This window comes from Homo sapiens, chromosome 21 (genome assembly GCF_000001405.40).
Source record: "Homo sapiens chromosome 21, GRCh38.p14 Primary Assembly".
In the NCBI taxonomy this organism is placed as follows: domain Eukaryota; kingdom Metazoa; phylum Chordata; class Mammalia; order Primates; family Hominidae; genus Homo; species Homo sapiens.
The window spans coordinates 40,297,962-40,314,735 of NC_000021.9; the positions used below are offsets into that span (position 1 = coordinate 40,297,962).

Genomic DNA, 16,774 nt, shown 5'->3' on the forward strand with positions numbered 1-16,774 from the left:
ATTTTAAGGATTGTTAAGATGATCAAATAAATTAAGATTAGAAAAGTTCTCAGAACTGTGGAGATATTAACTGCTGTAAGAGTGTTGATTAATTTAGTAAATGCAGGTATGTTTAGCTTTTACTTTTTTTTTTTTTTTTGAGATGGAGTCTTACTCTGTTGCCTAGGTGGAGTGCAGTGGCATGTTCTCTGCTCACTGCAACTTCCACCTCCCAGGTTCAAGCAATTCTCTGCCTCAGCCTCCTGAGTAGCTGGGATTACAGGTGCCTGCCATCACGCCCAGGTAATTTTTTTGTATTTTTAATAGAGATGGGGTTTTACCATCTTGGCCAGGCTGGTCTTGAACTCCTGATCTCGTGATCCACCAGCCTCAGCCTCCCAAAGTGCTGGGATTACAGGCGTGAGCCACTGCGCACGGCCTGACATATTCTTGATGAGCAAAGTTCCCAACTTGCAAATGAAATAAATAATTTACACAGCCAATGGGTTTCTGAGATATTGCTTAAGTGATAAGCAATGTTACTTCATGTAGATGGTATTCGGAGACAAAATGTATTTAAGAAAATGAAAATATATTTAAAATAAGATAATAAGGAATGACTATCTCTGAGTGAGGAAATTATCTCTAAGAAATATGGTAGAGATTATTTAGAGCTAAGTTTTCTAGTAAAAGTGACCAATCAACTCAAGAGCAGGTGACAAAGTTGAAGACACCATGCCAAAATTATTCTCTGCAGGGTGGAAGGAAAATCTGCAGCCATCCACATTCTGTGCTCCATTTGGCTCAAGTTCTGCCAAGAGCAAGAAATTGCTCATCAATGGACAGGGTAGAAAATCTCTTGCATTCCCTCTGGAAGCATGTCTAATCATAATTGATCCATTACTCCTCCCCTCAATTTGGTTCTAATCCAACGAAATGTTCCTTAAAATCTCATCAAAGAAGTGTATATGAGAAACAACCATAGAAATACGGTAAGTATAAGGTAGTTACAGATAAAAACGGTCCCTAAATTAGTAGAATAATTACCCCGTATCATTGAAAACTGTTTCTGACCCTGGTAGGAGTAGCCAGGGGATTTCCCACGTACACCTCTTTGCTCATAGATTGGAATTCTCTCTTCAGATACCCCAGTGATTTACAGTCACATGAAGACCTAAGAAAGAAGCTTCTGCAGTAAGTGAGCTTCTTAATTTTTATAGCAAAGAGAATAATTAATAGCTCAGATGTTTGGTCTTTGGCTGATATACCATGCAACTTGAGACCACCTTGAGGAAAATGCTATATTTTACTAAGTGCATGAATAAGCCAAATCATATACATTTCCTTTAAATTTTGACAGAAGACTGTCATGAATGTAAATATTCAATCCCTAAGTGATTTATTATCGTGTACCAGTGAATACGTAGGTCCCTTTCATGAAAGTGAACTTGTGAGTTACAATAAGAACTCTAAGACTGGGAACATCCATGTACTTACATCAAGAAGACCTGAGGCCACACCCCTCAGATCTGACACCTTAAGAATATGCTTGGGTTGAGTTCTGCCTGGCAAAATTAGAGGTGATGGATTCCTGGGAAAAGTAGTAATAAGTTTCTAAACAAATTTCTTTGCCTGCCCAGAGCCTAATGTGAAGACAACAGGCATATGGTCCCCTGGGGGTTGTCATCACTTTGAGACAGCTGCATCACCAGCTAAGATTAAAATTCCAGGGCAGGGGAGTGTCTGAATGAGGACCCAGTGTTTAACATGTAACTAATGACATCATTCTCATATGCTCTAAGCATATGAGAATGACCATTATCCCTAGGGACAACAAAGTTCCCAATTTTTTAAAGTAAGCAGCAGTTTATTTTTTAAAAAGTGCAGATATTTTTTAAAGAAACTATTAATATTCGACCTAGATACTTTTTTTCTACAAAATGGCAGCCTAAGAAATTGTCCTAAAAGAATCAGGAGCCCCCACAAGGAGTCACTTAGTAATGAAAGTGAGCATTTCCTGAGTACTCAGTGGGTTTCACGTACTCCTAGTTCCATCCTTTGACCCCTCCCAGAATTGCCCTCAAGACAATTCTTACTTTGCTTGCTTATTAAAGAGAGGATCCCCCACTGTGGCCCTCTCCTTCTTCTCAGGGTGTTGTCTTCAATCTTCTCCACATCTTACTCAACAAACCTCCTGAGCTATTTCACCCACTCCCATCACGATGATTGCCTTTATCTTCCCTTGGTGTGTAGAGCACCATATCCTTCCATCATTAGCTTATATCACAGGTACCTCTAATTCAAGTTTCCAAAATGGTACCTGTTCCTGTTCACCATCCATTAAGGTCCTCAAAAAAGAAAAATGGAATTTCCTTTCATATCCTCTTCTTTCATTTCTTTTTATCAGGTGCTGATGATTATTTCTTGAAAATGTATCCTCAAATTCTCTGCATCTCCACTGCCACACCCCAGTCACAGTGAGTAGTCTGGTTATGTGGGAAAGGGGCACAGCCCCTCTGTCCACCCGGCTTCAGCACCTCTGGGAGGACAGCTCCACCTCCACACACTTTGCCAGGACACTGCACTAAGGGGATGCGGCCCTCTCTTTGCTGTCTCAGGCCTTCTCAGAAGTCATGAGCCTTTACCCACCTTACTGGTGCAACCTTGACATGTGAAAAACAATTGTCCATCACTGAGGGACAGGAGTCAGGGTATAAATTCTCTGCCTCTGCCTCAGTTTCCTCCGATCCAGTGGGGCAATTATGAGGCCTGCTCTGTGCCTGCGCTTCTCAAACATTAGAGGGCATCAGAATCACCTGAAGAGCTGATTAAACCACACATTGCTAAACCTTGTCTCCAGTGATTCTGACTCAGTACATCTGGGGTGGAATCCAATATTTTGCCTTTCTAATGAGCTCCCAGGTGATGCTGAGGCTGCTGGTACAGAGACCACACTTCAAGAACCACTGTTCTACGTGATTCCTTAGAAGGCTCCCAGTAGGAATGAGCTCCAGTTGCCCATAGCAGCAACCAGCTCATTAAAGCAACTTTTACTGATTTTCTTTTCTCCCTTTCTAATCTCATTCTTTCCATTCTGGGATCCAGGAATGACATCCCAAATAAATAACCTGCCAGCCAATTCTGTGCCTCACACTCTACTTTCAAGGGAACCCAACCTAGGACAAGGCCCATATTGCCTCTTATTTAGATTTCTCAGCCCCCTAACTGGTCTACCTGCCACGAACTGTCCCACTTGAATTCATTCTTCACTCAGGGACCTAAAGGATCTAAGACACAAATTGGATGATGTGACTTCCTTGCTTAAAAGCATCGCATATTCCCATGGCCCTTTGGTATAATCCAGACTCTTGGGATATTTTAAAGGATTTTTATGACTTGAGCCCTTGGTCTCCAGTTGCATTCTGTGACATTCTCCTCTTGCAGGCTTTGCCCCAACTATTCTAAAACCCCATCTATTATCCAGTCCCCAAGACCATTCTTGCTGCTGGGTCTTCACACAGGCTTCTTCATGTCTGTTTAATAAGTTCCCATTCACCATTTGCATCTTAGCTTAGCACTCACTCAGTCAGGCACATTTGTTTCTGATGCTGTGGATAAGATTAAGTGCTTCTCTGAGGCCTTAATTACTTACCATAGCCTTTATTACGCTCATCTGGTATTGCTGTTTAACAGTCTGTGTCCCATACCAGGCTGTGCATGCTATGAGAACAAGAACCATTCCTTTCTCACAGGCCATGGCATGCCCAGCGCACAGCACAGATCTGCAGTACAGAAAGCACTCTGCAACTATGCGTTGAAAGGACACATGAATCAATGAATGTTATTACTTCAGTTTTATAGACTAGGGAAACGGAGCATGGCTAAGTTAATAACGCAGATCAGGGTGACCCCCAAAGCCTGAGGTCTTTGAGAAGAGTGGACCCAATGGAAGTGCCATCTGAGGGACAGCAGAAGACAGCCTCATAGGAGGACTCTGGCCAAGAAGATACAGAGCCTGAGATGGAAGGATGTGAAGCCTTTGGGACTGTTGCCGTTTGGGCCAAAACTTATGACAGAACAAAAAGACCACCAGTACTCTATATTGTCTGGGTGTATAATTCCCCAAGGTTGTTGGTTTCCTTTTTTAAAGATGATATTTAGATTTCCTTTTATTAGTATAACACATTATTTAGTATATTGTGGTGAGCCGGCTTGCCAATATAGTTTGTTTTCCAATAGATCATGATATGGTTTGGTAGTGTCCCCACCCAAATCTCATCTTGAATTGTAGCTCCCACAATTCCCACCTATTGTGGGAGGGATCCAGTGGGAAGTAATTTAACCACGGGGGGCGGATCTTTCCCATGCTGTTCTCGTGATAGTGAATGAGTCTCATGAGATCTGATGATTTTATAAAGGGGATTTCCCCTGCACAAGCTCTCTCTTGCCTGCCACCATGTAAGACATGCCTTTCACCTCCCAGCCACCTGTGGAACTGTGAGTCCATTAATCCTCTTTTTCTTTATAAATTAGCCAGTCTTGGGTATGTCTTTATCAGCAGCATAAAAATGGACTAATACAGAGCGGTTTTTCTGGTAGGGAGGAAGAGTAATTAAAGAGATGAATAGGTTCAACTACATAATTACATCACATCTCCAAGATGCAATATGGCTAAACTTGCCAAACACTTCTCTGAATCATAATTACGTGCACATAACCAGCACTCCTGTCTCCCCAAAAAGAACAATTTGATATATATTCCAAAATACCAAAATCTTGTCATGGGATCCACATAGGCTGAGAGTATCTGAAGTTTCAAATAGGTTTCTTTGAGGAAGTTTACTCCTGGTGTTGCCTAAAATGAAGGTTGTTTAAAACACAGAGGTCTTTGGCTTGATCTGCTTATTTTGTGTGTGTTGGTGGGGGGTGGATTACTTCTGTTGTTTCATTTTTAAAGAAATAATACTATGGTTATAATAAGACAGGCATTTTTCTAGTTTTAAATGTAGTCCAGCGTTTTATGTTTGGAAGCCATGGCTTCTAAGTTGCTATATATTTCCAAAGAATGAATTTAGGTTTCCCTAGCTGTAAACCTGGGCAGAAATTCAGTTTTAATGAAAGCCATTTGGTGGAGGTGGGAGGGGGTGCATGGATAAATACCACCATTCTCTACTTGGTGACATTTAGTTGAGATGGGACTTGGCCAAAGTCTAGGTAAGATTTAATTTACGACACTGACAATTAAACCTATTGCTTTCCCATCATTCTGAGAATAGATGGCCTGGCCTCTGCTTATATCTCTGCCTTACACTTTCTGTCCTCTCTTACTTAATAGGAGGCACCTTGGGCCTCTTGCTGGGCTGTGAACACACAAAACTCACTCCACACTCAGTCTTCAGACTTGTTGGTCTCTCTGCTTGGAACTCGCTTCCTACAATTCCCTGGGACGTACGCCTTCACTTCAGTCAAGTCTCTGCTCAAAGATCTCTCCAGAAAGCCTTCCCCTGCCCAGCCTACCTAAAATACTATTTTCATCCCCATCTTTCTCAATCCACGTACAACATGTTTATTTTTCATAGTCCTTGTAGATAACTGACATTGTTTGTTCATTATCTCTTCCCTTCACTAGACTTTGAACCTTAATGGGCAGAGACTTGGTGTCTTTATTTTAATCACCATGGTATCCTCGGCACTCATAACAGCACCTATTATAAAACAAATATTTAAGAAATATTTTGTGTAAGAATGAATGAATGAAGTAAAATCATAGCATGAGAATTCTATCAAAAATTGGATCAACAGATGGCAATAAAATAGCAACCTTCTATGATTTTCATTTTTCCTGTCAACTGACAGTCAACTATTTTAGCCAATGTGCTTGTTTCTCTATGTGGCAGTTCACCATTAAAAGCCAGAAACCATTGACCCATCAGAAGATATAAAAAAGTGTGAGAAAACGGCCCTCCTTTGGAATCACAGATAGGAACTGTTGTGTTGGTGCTTTCCTGTGAGTGGTCTAGAGACCACAACAGGAAGCAAAGGGCAGGAGTGCTCTTTCATGAAGCCTAATGCGTTATTTCTAATACCTTAATCAATGCCAAGGTCACTCCACTGAGCAGGATATCAGGGAAACCATCAGTCCACTGTCATAAGAGCTATGAGATTTGGCTCTTATTGGCTCATACATAACAGCTAAGAGATTTTTGCTTTTGGGGTGTTGTTTTTGTTTTCTTATATTTTCTTCAAGACAACAGCTAATTTATTTTAGATCAAGTCTTTACAAATCTTCCCACTAACCCAGGCTATCAAACAATGTGCTAAGCTTTACAATGACCCCAGGTCAAACTTTTCTTATGCAGCTTCCTCACGTCACTCAGCCTTCATAGAAGAGAGTTAGGGCCTTGCCCTGTATCAAGCTTGTACTTAAGGGAATGTGGTGGCTGGTTTGGTTTTCTCTATCCATACTATTTAAACGTTCTCCATATTAGCAACGAGGTTGTTTCACTTTACCATTTGTGTGTTCACTGGAGTAGCATTTTTCATTGCCCTCAAGAACTTTTCCTTTGTGTTTACAATGTGGCAAACAGTTTGGCATAGGAAGCCCAGCTTCCGGCCTCTCTTGGCTTTCAAATGCCTTCCTCACTGAATGCAATCATTTCTAGCTTTTGATTTAAAGTGAGAGATGTGCAATGAATGATTCCTCCTCTCACTGAAACACCGGAGACTGTTGTGGGGCCATTCATTGGCCTAATTTCAATATTGTTATGTCTTAGGAAGTAGGGAAGCTGAGAAATGGTCAATATTGTTGTCTTAGGAAATAGGGAAGCTGAGAAATGGAGACTGGGAAATGGTTGGTTAGTAGAGTGGTCAGAACACACACAACATTTATCGATTAAGTTTGCCATCTCATATGGCTACTGAACAATTATAATAGTAACATTATAATAGTAACACCAGAGATTACTGATTACCAATCACCATAACAGACATAATAATAATGATAAAGTTTCAAATGTTGCAAGAATTACCAAAATGTGACATACAGACACGAAGTGGGCACACACTGTTGGAAAAAATGGTCCCCATAGACTTGCTCGATGCAGGATTGCCACAAACCTTCAACTTGTAAAAAATGCGATATCTGGGAAGCACAATAAAGCAAAGTGTGGCCGGGCATGGTGGCTCACTCCTGTAATCTCGGCACTTTGGGAGGCCAAGTGGGGTGCATCACCTGAGGCCAGGAGTTCGAGACCAGCCTGGCCAACGTGGTGAAACCTTGTCTCTACTAAAAATAAAAAAATTAGCTTGGCATGTTGGCACATGCCTGTAATCCAAGCTACTCAGGAAGCTGAGGCAGGAGAATGGTGTGAACCCGGAAGGTAGAGGTTGCAGTGAGTGGAGATTGGCCCATTGTACTGCAGCCTGGGTGACAGAGCAAGATCCCGTCTCAAAAAAAAAAAAAAAAAAAGGAAGAAAAGAAAAGTGCAGAAGCTCTTTAGTTTAATTAGATCCCATTTGTCAATTCTGGCTTTTGTTTCCATTGCTTTTGGTGTTTTAGACATGAAATCCTTGCCCATGCCTATGTCCTAAATGGTAATGCCTAGGTTTTCTTCTAGGGTTTTTATGGTTTTAGGTCTAAGGTTTAAGTCTTTAATCCATCTTGAATTAATTTTTTGTATAAGGTGTAAGGAAGGGATCCAGTTTCAGCTTTCTACATATGGCTAGCCAGTTTTCCCAGCACCATTTATTAAATAGGGAATCCTTTCCCCATTGCTTGTTTTTCTCAGGTTTGTCAAAGATCAGACAGTTGTAGATATGTGGCGTTATTTCTGAGGGCTCTGTTCTGTTCCATTGGTCTATATCTCTGTTTTGGTACCAGTGCCATGCTGTTTTGGTTACTGTAGCCTTGTAGTATAGTTTGAAGTCAGGTAGCATGATGCCTCCAGCTTTGTTCTTTTGGCTTAGGATTGACTTGGCGACGCGGGCTCTTTTTTTGTGCCACATGAACTTTAAAGTAGTTTTTTCCAATTCTGTGAAGAAAGTCATTGGTAGCTTGATGGGGATGGCATTGAATCTATAAATTACCTTGGGCAGTATGGCCATTTTCACAATATTGATTCTTCCTACCCATGAGCATGGAATGTTCTTCCATTTGTTTGTATCCTCTTTTATTTCATTGAGCAGCGGTTTGTAGTTCTCCTTGAAGAGGTCCTTCACATCCCTTGTAAGTTGGATTCCTAGGTATTTTATTCTCTTTGAAGCAATTGTGAATGGGAGTTCACTCATAATTTGGCTCTCTGTTTGTCTGTTATTGGTATATAAGAATGCTTGTGATTTTTGTACATTGATTTTGTATCCTGAGACTTTGCTGAAGTTGCTTATCAGCTTAAGAAGATTTTGGGCTGAGACGATGGGGTTTTCTAGATATACAATCATGTCATCTGCAAACAGGGACAATTGGACTTCCTCTTTTCCTAATTGAATACCCTTTATTTCCTTCTCCTGCCTAATTGCCCTGGCCAGAACTTCCAACACTATGTTGAATAGGAGTGGTGAGAGAGGGCATCCCTGTCTTGTGCCAGTTTTCAAAGGGAATGCTTCCAGTTTTTGCCCATTCAGTATGATATTGGCTGTGGGTTTGTCATAGATAGCTCTTATTATTTTGAGATACGTCCCATCAATACCTAATTTATTGAGAGTTTTTAGCATGAAGGGTTGTTGAATTTTGTCAAAGGCCTTTTCTGCATCTATTGAGATAATCATGTGTTTTTTGTCTTTGGTTCTGTTATATGCTAGATTATATTTATTAATTTGCGTATATTGAACAAGCCTTGCATCCCAGGGATGAAGCCCACTTGATCATGGTGGATAAGCTTTTTGATGTGCTGCTGGATTCGGTTTGCCAGTATTTTATTGAGGATTTTTGCATCAATGTTCATCAAGGATATTGGTCTAAAATTCTCTTTTTTGGTTGTGTCTCTGCCCAGCTTTGGTATCAGGATGACGCTGGCCTCATAAAATGAGTTAGGGAGGATTCCCTCTTTTTCTATTGATTGGAATAATTTCAGAAGGAATGGTACCAGTTCCTCCTTGTACCTCTGGTAGAATTTGGCTGTGAATCCATCTGGTCCTGGATTCTTTTTGGATCTAATTAAACTAAAGAGCTTCTGCACAGCAAAAGAAACTACTATCAGAGTGAACAGGCAACCTACAAAATGGGAGAAAATTTTCGCAACCTACTCATCTGACAAAGGGCTAATATCCAGAATCTACAATGAACTCAAACAAATTTACAAGAAAAAAAAAACAACCCCATCAAAAAGTAGGCAAAGGACATGAACAGACACTTCTCAAAAGAAGACATTTATGCAGCCAAAAAACACATGAAAAAATGCTCACCGTCACTGGCCATCAGAGAAATGCAAATCAAAACCACAGTGAGATACCATCTCACACCAGTTAGAATGGCAATCGTTAAAAAGTCAGGAAACAACAGGTGCTGGAGAGGATGTGGAGAAATAGGAACACTTTTACACTGTTGGTGGGACTGTAAACTAGTTCTACCATTGTGAAAGTCAGTGTGGCGATTCCTCAGGGATCTAGAACTAGAAATACCATTTGACCCAGCCATCCCATTACTGGGTATATACCCAAAGGACTATAAATCATGCTGCTATAAAGACACATGCACACGTATGTTTATTGAGGCACTATTCACAATAGCAAAGACTTGGGACCAACCCAAATGTCCAACAGTGATAGACTGGATTAAGAAAATGTGGCACATATACATCATGGAATACTATGCAGCCATAAAAAATGATGAGTTCATGTCCTTTGTAGGGACATGGATGAAATTGGAAATCATCATTCCCAGTAAACTATCACAAGAACAAAAAACCAAACACTGCATATTCTTACTCATGGGTGGGAATTGAACAATGAGAACACATGGACACAGGAAGGGGAACATCACACTCTGGGGACTGTTGTGGGATGAGGGGAGGGGGGAGGGATAGCATTAGGAGATATACCTAATGCTAGATGACGAGTTGATGGGTGCAGCACACCAGCATGGCACATGTATACATATGTAACTAACCTGCACATTGTGCACATATACCCTAAAACTTAAAGAATAATAATAAAATAAAATAAAAAAACACAACAACAACAACAAAAAAGAAAAGTGTGATAAAATCAGGTGTGCCTGTGTTTATTGAATGCAGTACATTGTGGATACGCTATGCTGTTGGGGGTCTGGATTTTGTTGTCTTCCTTTTTAGTGTCAAATATTGTTTATGCACACAATTAACTTACTAGTGGAGAAGTTTTATCTTGCCAAGAATCTTCTTAGGCTCTTTTAGGGCTGGTCTAGAGTAACCCTTATGCTGGGGATAGATTAGTCCTACTCCTAGGGTGTGGCATTCCTGAGATTGCGGCTGAATTCCCCTATTCTGGCTAGTTAGAACTCCAGCATTCCCAAGCAATGTGCAACTTCTGCTAGCACCCTGTGCATGTGAAGAACAGTATTCAGCTGAAACTGCAAAGGAGCCCTGTACAGATTTCTAGAGACCTTTCTTTGAATAGCTCCCTAATCTCCAGTAGCTTGTCCTTCAATACCCAGTAATCATCTTAGTATCTTTCAATTTCTCTCTCTGTTTTCTCCACCTGCCAAGATCACTGTGATCTATTTGGGCTCTGCACTCTCTGTCATGTGCAGAAAGTACCCCAAGCAGCTATCTGGGGTGAATTTGGAACTGACTTCATGCACTTTGTTTTGTTCCTGAAAGCAGTTCTTATATATATTAGACCAATTTTATAGTTGGTTTGTAGTAGGAGGATAAATGTGTTACCTGTTACTCTGTGATGGTCCTATTAGATAATTTTTGTTTTTCCACTTCTTTGACCCAAAACATCCCCCTTCCCTATAATTTTCAATCATTTCTGTTGGTGCTACCTACTGGAGCTTCACACCATGGTTGTTATTATACTACTTTGAACGTACTACTGCACTGGTACAAAGAATTCTGGTTGCATTCACTAACTCAAGGACTTTGATCCTGTAATAATCTCCTCTTTATCTTGACACATATTTTTTTCCTCTCTACTGGCTTATTCTCATAAGCATAAAGCAGGCTGTAAAGTATCCAGTCTTAAAAATAACTCCTGCCCTTGCCCCATGTCCATTTCCAACTTTGTCTCCATTTTACTGCCTCCTGTGATAGCAAAATTCCTAAAAATATAAAAATAGTTGTGTTTTCTGAGTTCCTGCACATTGACCTTCTTTCTTTTCTGAAGCTCCTCTAATCAAGCCCTCGCTGCAATGACACCAGGTCATAAACAATATCCATCAAGGTCATAAACAATATCCATCTTCCTAAACCAGTGACCAACTCTTGGTTTTCCTCTTTGTCTACTTTCAGCAGGATTCAATACTGTTTAATATTCTCTTTCTCGATTTATTTCTGATTTTGCTTCTAGAGTGCCACAGTCCACTGGATTTTCTCCTCCTTTACAGGCTGCTCCTTTTCCCTCTTCGTCTCTTCTGCTGATTCCTCCTTCTCTTATTCTGGGGCCTTAAATGCTGGAGTGCCCTAGTGACTGCTGGGACAGGTGCTTCTCCCATATCATTGACCATTATTCCCCTTGTCAATACCGTTCTTCCTCATTTCTTCTCTGCTTCTGCTAAAGACACTTTCATTCACCTTGTTATTAGGCAAAGCATGATTCCACTAAAGGTTCTTCTTTATCTCATTTGCAACATTCACTCCATAAGCGTGTTTTATTTGCTTTACCGCCAAAATAGATTGTGAATTCCACTGCTTCTCATGACCTTAACATTAACACCTTCATCCAAGGCATTTTTATCTTGTCTGAATGTCTGAAATAGCCTGTTAACTACTCTTCTTGCTTTCTAGCCCAGTCCATTCTTCAGACAGCTACTAGTGTGACAACTAAAAAGATCAATCAGGCCATAGTGCTGTGGTGGTTAAAGTCAACAGTGCCAACTCTTTAATCTAGAAGAAAATCCACACCTCAAAATGGCTGCACGTTCTAATTACTCAGGGGGCTGGAACTGAGACTTGGCTACATATTAGAATAAACCTGTGGATTTTACAAATTATTGATGCCTGGGTCCCACCTCCAAAGATGGTTATTTAATTGACAGGAGCTTCATCCTGGTCATCAGGACCTTTTTAGACCTCCCTATGCAATCTGAATGTACAACAAAGTTTGAGAACCACTAACTAGTGATTTTTGGGAAAAAAGAACAATTCCCCAGAGATCTGGAAGATGGATTTACCCCTAAAGATTATGATTTAATTGGTGTAGATTGGGACCAAAAAATGCACATCAGTGTTTTCTTAAGCCTCCCAGGAGATTCTACAGAACTGTCTGGATTGAGAACCACAGTCCCACATCACCTTGTCCCTGCCTGTTTCTCCAGTCACACTGACCTGTTTGTGAAGCACATTTTCTTCCTCTAGGCTGCATTATCTCACTGGTGATTTAATATTAATTTAACTAAAGCTTATTTAACATATTTGAAGAACAATCACATGGAGACATCAGTCATATCATGATCAGCTACATTATCCCAAATAGCTAGGCTCATTTTCAGCTCATCTGATTTTGCCTTGGTTAAAAACTTCTGGTTGCCTTTTCTGCAAGGGCAAGTTGTACAAAAAGCATCCCCGTACATTTTTATCTGACGTTTCAGATTCCTGGCCTGGATCCTTCAGAGCAGATTATATAGAAAGCAGGCTGATGTACTATTTTGCCCTTCACAAACCCAAGAGTTAACTCTGCTTATAAGAAAACGCTTGGGAAACAGATACTAGGTTGGCTCCCTTTTTTATTTATCTTTCAAAATTTGGGAAAAAATCAAGTATCCCAATTCTTCCACTCCAAAGTGCAAGGTGGAAATGAGAAAAATGTCATGAGGCTGCTAAGTTTGTGTCTAATTGAATATATATTTTCTAAATTATTCACCTGGAAATTTTTTTTTTCAGAAATACAAAGTTAGTTTCTTCCTATGACTTCTAAGTCTGTGTCACTTCCTTTTGCTGGCAGGTAGATAAAAAGTGCATTTCTTCCCAGCTGGCAAGGAAGAAGAGGTATCAAGGGGACAAGGAGTAAGGAATGAAGAAGGACATGAGAATCTCCTGCTCAAGAAAGAGCTATCTCCACTCTCTGGGAAATTACAGAAATCCTCCCCCTCCTAACAACCACTCTGGGACCACAATCTGGGGAATTTTAAAATGCAAATAATCATTGTTAATATAAATCTTTAACTTCAGACAGTTACTTTTGCAATGTGGATGAATATTGTAATGGTAGATTAATGTATAGTACTCTTGGAGAATCATAAACATCACAGAATGTCTGTGTTTGATATACATTAGAGAACACTAGCAGCTTATTTCATAGATGAAGAGTGTGAGCCTTAATGGGAATTTGGTGACTTGAATAGAAGTTCAAAATAAGACTGAAGCTTACAGTTTAGATGTAATGAGATTACTGCCAGTTTTCTACAAGTTAGCCTACCCTATTTTAATTTTTTTGAATAAGTACTACCATACTCTGCTTAATTTTAAAACGTTGCAATGGCGTCCCAAAATAATGATAGATTTAATGCTAAATAGAATAGATGGGCAAAGAAAACCACATTTCTAAAACTAAAACAAACATTATGAAAAGCTATTTCATGGCTCTTTAGAAAAACTTTGATACATAGCTTTGAGACATATTTTTTAAAAAACCATTTATTGAAATAAGAAATACTAAAAATATTATATGAATACAATAAAGCAAAAGCTCACGGACGTTAGTCCTCAAAACTCATTGGCTTAGCATACGGAAGCCTTATTTCATGAATTAAATCCTATGGTTCCCACCTTCTTAGCTATTAATTATTTAAAACATATTTTAGGTAAATAAAACCTTATCTTGGAGTTTAGGGGAATTCATGGTTGGGTTTAGAGTCGTATTTTTTTTTTTTTTTTTTTTTTTTTTTAGTGAGATAAAACTGAATTTCTAAGTTCCAGTTATTTTCGAAATATTTCAAGCCCCATCATCTTAAACCATTGTTAAATCAACTCTACAGATGCCACATGGCTCATGATCCTTTGCTCACCTCTGACAATCAACTGGCTTTGGTGCTCCACAGCGGCGGCCTCATTCCGGGCTATGCAGGTGTAATTCCCATTGTGCATGAGCGAGAGATTGGAAATCCTCAAGGAGCTCGTGAAGTCAATATTGTCAATGGTCACCCCAAGGCTCCCAGGGATTGGCCGGCCATCCTTCTGCCAGGTGATCGTGATGGGTAAGTCCCCTGAGACCACAACACAGGGGATGAAGACCCGCTGCCCAATGGAGAATCTTGGAAACTCAAAGGGTTGTATGAAAGGCGGAACTGCAAGAAAAAAGAAAGATAATAACGAACTGTGCTTATTCTACATTTGCTTTTCCTTTAACCCTGTATACGGCACTGAAAGGGTAGTACAGACGATCATAGATACAGCATAGAAATACAGGAACTGTAGCAAATTTGAAATTCTGCTTCTATTATTTGAATGTTCTCATCATTTTAAATAAAAACCATGGTTCAATTTGTACTTCAGCAAGTTAATTTTGTTCAACAAACTTTAATTTAAAAATTATTTTTGAATGAAAACATTTCAGACTATATCTGTAGTGTAAATAGTGTGAAAGAGGGATTTAGGTTTGGTTTTCCTTCAAAGCCTTTTAAAATGATGTATACAAGAGGAGGTTTCTTTCCTACTTTGCGACTATGACACTACAATTACTGTTCCCCTTCTAATTGTTTCCTGCCTTGTAAATAGGCATATTCTAAACCCACTGAAGAAGCAGAAATTCCAATTTTGGCTGGATGTGGTGGCTCACACCTGTAATCCCAGCACTTTGGGAGGCCAAGGCAGGAGGAACACTTGAGGCCAGGAGTTCAAGACTAGCCTGGGCAACATAACGGGACCCCCATATCTACAACATTTTTTTAAAAAATTAGCCAGGTGCGATGGTGTGCACCTCTGGTCCCAGCTACTGAGGAGGCCAAGGCGGGAGGATCCCTTGAGCCCAGGAGTTCGAGGCTGCAGTAAGCTACGAGGGCACCAGTGCACTCCAGCCTGGGTGACTCCAGCCTGTGTCTAAAAAACTAAAAAAAAAAAAAAAAGTAAAATAAATATTCCAATTTTATTGTTAAAGTTCTCTGTTATGTCCAACTAATAACAACCATTAATTATAAATTCTTATTTCATATTAGAATAACTACATCTTTACTTTGCATCTCTTAGTTTTGCACACTTTACGTGTGTAACTTTTAATTGTGAACTGGTCCGTGGCAGGTTATTTGACTTGCTGATGTATTGCTAAGGAGGTCGGGTTATAGCCTTCAGCCTGGCCTGCCATGGACACTGCAAGCAAACTCAGCCTGGAAAGCTCTTTCCTGATTCAGCTTTGCTGAGTGATGCCTGTTTTGTCCACCTTGCCTTAGGAACTCTCTTCCTCAGTGCCCTCCTAGATGATGTCATAGGGTATTAACATTCTGAAATAGTTAAAATGGAGTCAGATGAACCACATTTGAACTCTAACTGTTACTTGTTAGTTATGAGCAAAGTAATATGCTCTTTCATCAGCCTTACGGATTAGTTATTTATTGCTTTACTTTGCAGATGGGAAAAGTGATACTCAAAGATGTTACCTTGCCCTTTTGGTCTTAGAACTAGTTAACTATTCTCGGAGGGCTTAAATCATGTCAATATAACTAATATCAGAGCCTGTAATGTAAGCCTTTTTTGTGTTTTTGCATACATTCTTGGAAAGAAAAAGGTTTATTTGTATGCAGGGGCTTGGAAATGACTAAGAGTACAAACTAAGATGATTAATCATGTGATAATCTAATATAAACCAATTATTATATTACGAGTTTTTCCTAATGAAGTTATTAAAGATTTCTACAGTTTATTCAACAATTGTAAGTCCATTTCAACTATCAGCTTAAGGAAGAGGTAAGGGATCCGGCTGAGAAATTTGAATAGAAAACCATTCATTCATTTATTTGTTCATTCAATCAAGTCATGTTTATTGAGCACCTGGGATGTGTGTGGCAGCAGTGAACGTGCTGGGCACACAGCAATGAGCATAACCCATCAGCCTCTGCCAGTGGAGCTTCCATATATAGCCATAGGCCGCAGACAGCAAGGAAGTGCAGCCATGGCGCTTCTCTTATTTCGTATTATCACTATGACGGCTGTCTGCTTTCAAAAGCAGTTGGGAGCTAGAACTCAAAATTGCAAGTACAGCCAGAGGTCGAAGAAGTAGGTAGCTCAAGTTAGGTTTTACCAGGGAAATTAATTTTTTTAAATGGTCAAAGGTACCGACAAGCATACTCAATGTCAATCCTCCTGTGGATTCTCCATGTAAAGTTAGATCTTTGGGATTGAAAAGGGCTGATCTGATGCTAAGAGATAAAGGTCTCAGGATGAGATTCTATCCAGTGCTGGTGGAGAGAATCGGGTCAGACTGAGGTATGAACGTTCTCAGTTGGAATGTGCTGGAGAAAATGTCATGTTGTACCAAAGGTGCTTGTATTTCTTTAAATCTCTTGCCCCCAAGTGGCATAAATGCTCACTATATATGTAAATATTATTAATACTAAATTGCTATGCTTTATTAAAGAAAATAATTACATTTCCTCCCCTTTGATTTCCTGGACACAAAAACCTGGTTGTCAGCATACTCAGACAAACCTTGGCTTGGTGCTTACTGTCTG

General features: G+C 39.9%; 1 protein-coding gene across 4 annotated transcripts in view; it reads right to left on the reverse strand.

Moving 5' to 3' along the window:
• The window catches only part of DSCAM (DS cell adhesion molecule), an 836,160-nt gene that overhangs the window by 286,963 nt on the left and 532,423 nt on the right, over positions 1-16,774 (reverse strand). For all 4 annotated transcript variants that reach the window (NR_073202.3, NM_001271534.3, NM_001389.5 and 1 more), the window contains one exon: positions 14,120-14,398. Coding sequence is in view for 3 of the 4 variants with exons in the window: in NM_001271534.3 (NP_001258463.1) it covers positions 14,120-14,398 (279 nt within the window). In the remaining variant the exon portion in view is untranslated. The remainder of the gene's footprint in view (positions 1-14,119; positions 14,399-16,774) is intronic.